The sequence below is a fragment of the Homo sapiens genome, chromosome 1 (assembly GCF_000001405.40).
Source record: "Homo sapiens chromosome 1, GRCh38.p14 Primary Assembly".
Lineage (NCBI taxonomy): Eukaryota > Metazoa > Chordata > Mammalia > Primates > Hominidae > Homo > Homo sapiens.
In genome coordinates this window covers 43,068,832-43,071,179 of record NC_000001.11, presented here as the reverse complement: position 1 = coordinate 43,071,179, position 2,348 = coordinate 43,068,832, and the positions used below count along the sequence as shown (strand labels likewise).

Here is a 2,348-nt window from a genome sequence, read left to right as displayed (position 1 = left end):
GGACTCCCCACTGGTGTCCCTGTCCTCTCTCTGTCCCTCTGGGCTAGCCTTAAATACAGGCCTCACCACCAGGAGCATCACAGCTATTACTGAGCACTGACCAGTGTCAGGCATTGAGGGCTTTGCCTGTATTCTCCTTTATTCCTCAAGACAAACATGGAAGGGAAATACTATCATTATCTCCATTTCTTTTTTTTTTTTTCTTAATAGAGACAAGGCCTCACTACATTGTCCAGGCTGGTCTCAAACTCCTGGACTCAAGCTATTGTCCTGTCTCGGCCTCCCAAAGTGCTGGGATTATAGATGCAAGCCACCATGCATGGCCTATTACCTCCATTCCAATGATGAGAAAAGTGAGGTATGGAGCGTTTAATCTGCTCAGGGATGTGTGGTTATACAGTTACCAAAGTCTTAGAGCTGGGATTGGAATACAAGATAATCTGATTCGACTGCAGATCATGTGCCCTAAACCACTCAGCTACATGGCAATTTTACCTCTTACCAGAATCACCTACAGGATAAAGTCCACATGCTTCCACCTGGTCTGCGGGGACCCTCATGTATAGCTCAGACACGCCATTTCAGTCCTAGGACCCAGTGTGTCCAATTGTCCCACTCTCCATTCTGACCGCACTCCTCAGCTGCCCACTTCCACACCTTAACCCATGTCTTCTTGCCACCCAGAGTCTCAACCCCACCTCCATATGTCAAAATGCTCCCTCCAAGGCCTTCTCAAATTCCTCTTCCTCTACCCAGGGTAGGTCATGCAGCATGATGGAGGAGAGGCCTGTGGTGATGGGGAGACAGCGGACCTGATAACATGGTCCTTGCCCTTCCAGAAGGTGATTGGGGGATCCAGATCCCTCACTCTGGGCCTGTGCCCTCATCTGTAAGACGGAGGGGGTGGGACTAGATAATCTTTAGGAGCCTTCTTGCTCTAACAGTCTGAGACCCTACTGCTTTCACCATCCCCCAAAATAGAGGTGAAGTTGCCTTTTTAAAATCCCTTTAACATTCACAGAATGGAGAGAATGTTGGGGCTGGGAGGACTTCAGAGGAAACTAATCTCGCCCTCTTACTTTTCCCCCAGGCCTGGCAAACCATCTGGGGAGTGGTGGGAGGGAGGCCATGCTCTCTGCTCCACCAAGAACCCATCTCAGCAGGTCCCCAGCCCTGCAGAGAAGGGGTGGGAGGAGCCTGGAAGGGCAAAAGCTGCAGAGCCTGGCTCTGGGCCGGGCCTGGCCTGCCCAGCTCCAGGAGGCCTCAGTAGTTTTCCATAACCAGCAGGCCCACAGCCCAGGACATGTGCTCCCCTCTCCCTTGGCCCCCTACATTCCTCTGCACATTCAGGCAGCAAAATGGCATTCAGGCTCTGTTGGGGGCGGAAACCCAGACACACACAAAGACTCATAGATACAGGTTCAGCCACAAACACACAGACTCGGAGAGATAACGCAGATCCTGGCAGGGTCAAGGTGCCCAGGCACAAACAGCACCCACAGATACAATACGCCCACCCCGCCAGAGCCACCACGATCCGTTCTCAGAGGCACATGTGCATAAGAACATCACAGAGATATTCATTCTGTGCAGACACACAGGCACATGCATAGCGGGAGGTCACGTGTCCACTCAGCAGTCGCCCCCATGCGCCTGCCATCCTCCCTCCTCCCCTGAGCCCCCACACTCCCTGTCTAGGTCAAATCTTGGTCAAGGAATGGAAAAAGTCCCAAGCCGCCGCAGTTGTAGGAGTCAGGACAGAAGCCAGACAGTCCCGGGAACCAGCCGAGCTCCCTTCCCGCTGAGAAGGTGCCATTTTTTAATTCCATAGAATTCACGGGACAATCCCCATCCTGTTCCTGGGAGGCCAGGGTGAGGCTGGATCCTGGATGGTTCCCCAGCCCACCCTCATGGCCTCTGGGGTTCCAGCTCCGTCCCCAGCTGCAGGGGGAGGGCAGAGGGACCTCTGGAAAGTCATTTCCCAGATGCATTGCCCTCCAGTCCCCTCTCCAGCCACCTGGCGCCTCCACCCTCACCCCATCTCCCTCCTTCAGCCCCACATCTGTCCTCCAGGAGATTAACGGAACTCATTCCTCGGGTCCACCACACTGAACCAACCAGACAGAAGGCCATGAGCAGGGGGACCCTGGGACGGGCCCATGGCAGAGCCTCCGGCTTGTTGTCAGTGATTACCTGGGGTCAGGGGTCTGCTGGGACTGCCTGGCCCCCATGTTTTGGAGCAGGCAGTCCTGGGCTCCAGTCCCAGCCTCACTCCCTTCTTGTCTTAGGACGTTGGGCTGGCGGCTTCAACTCTGAGCCTCACATTCCTTCATTTATAAACTGAGACT

At 54.4% G+C, this 2,348-nt stretch overlaps 1 annotated feature.

Moving 5' to 3' along the window:
- Positions 719 to 1,686: an enhancer, noted in NCBI's record as "H3K27ac-H3K4me1 hESC enhancer chr1:43535165-43536132 (GRCh37/hg19 assembly coordinates)". NCBI's record gives its function as "activates a minimal SCP1, AML or CMV promoter by ChIP-STARR-seq in primed H9 embryonic stem cells {active_cell/tissue: H9 hESC(primed)}" and the evidence as "EXISTENCE:reporter gene assay evidence [ECO:0000049][PMID:30033119]".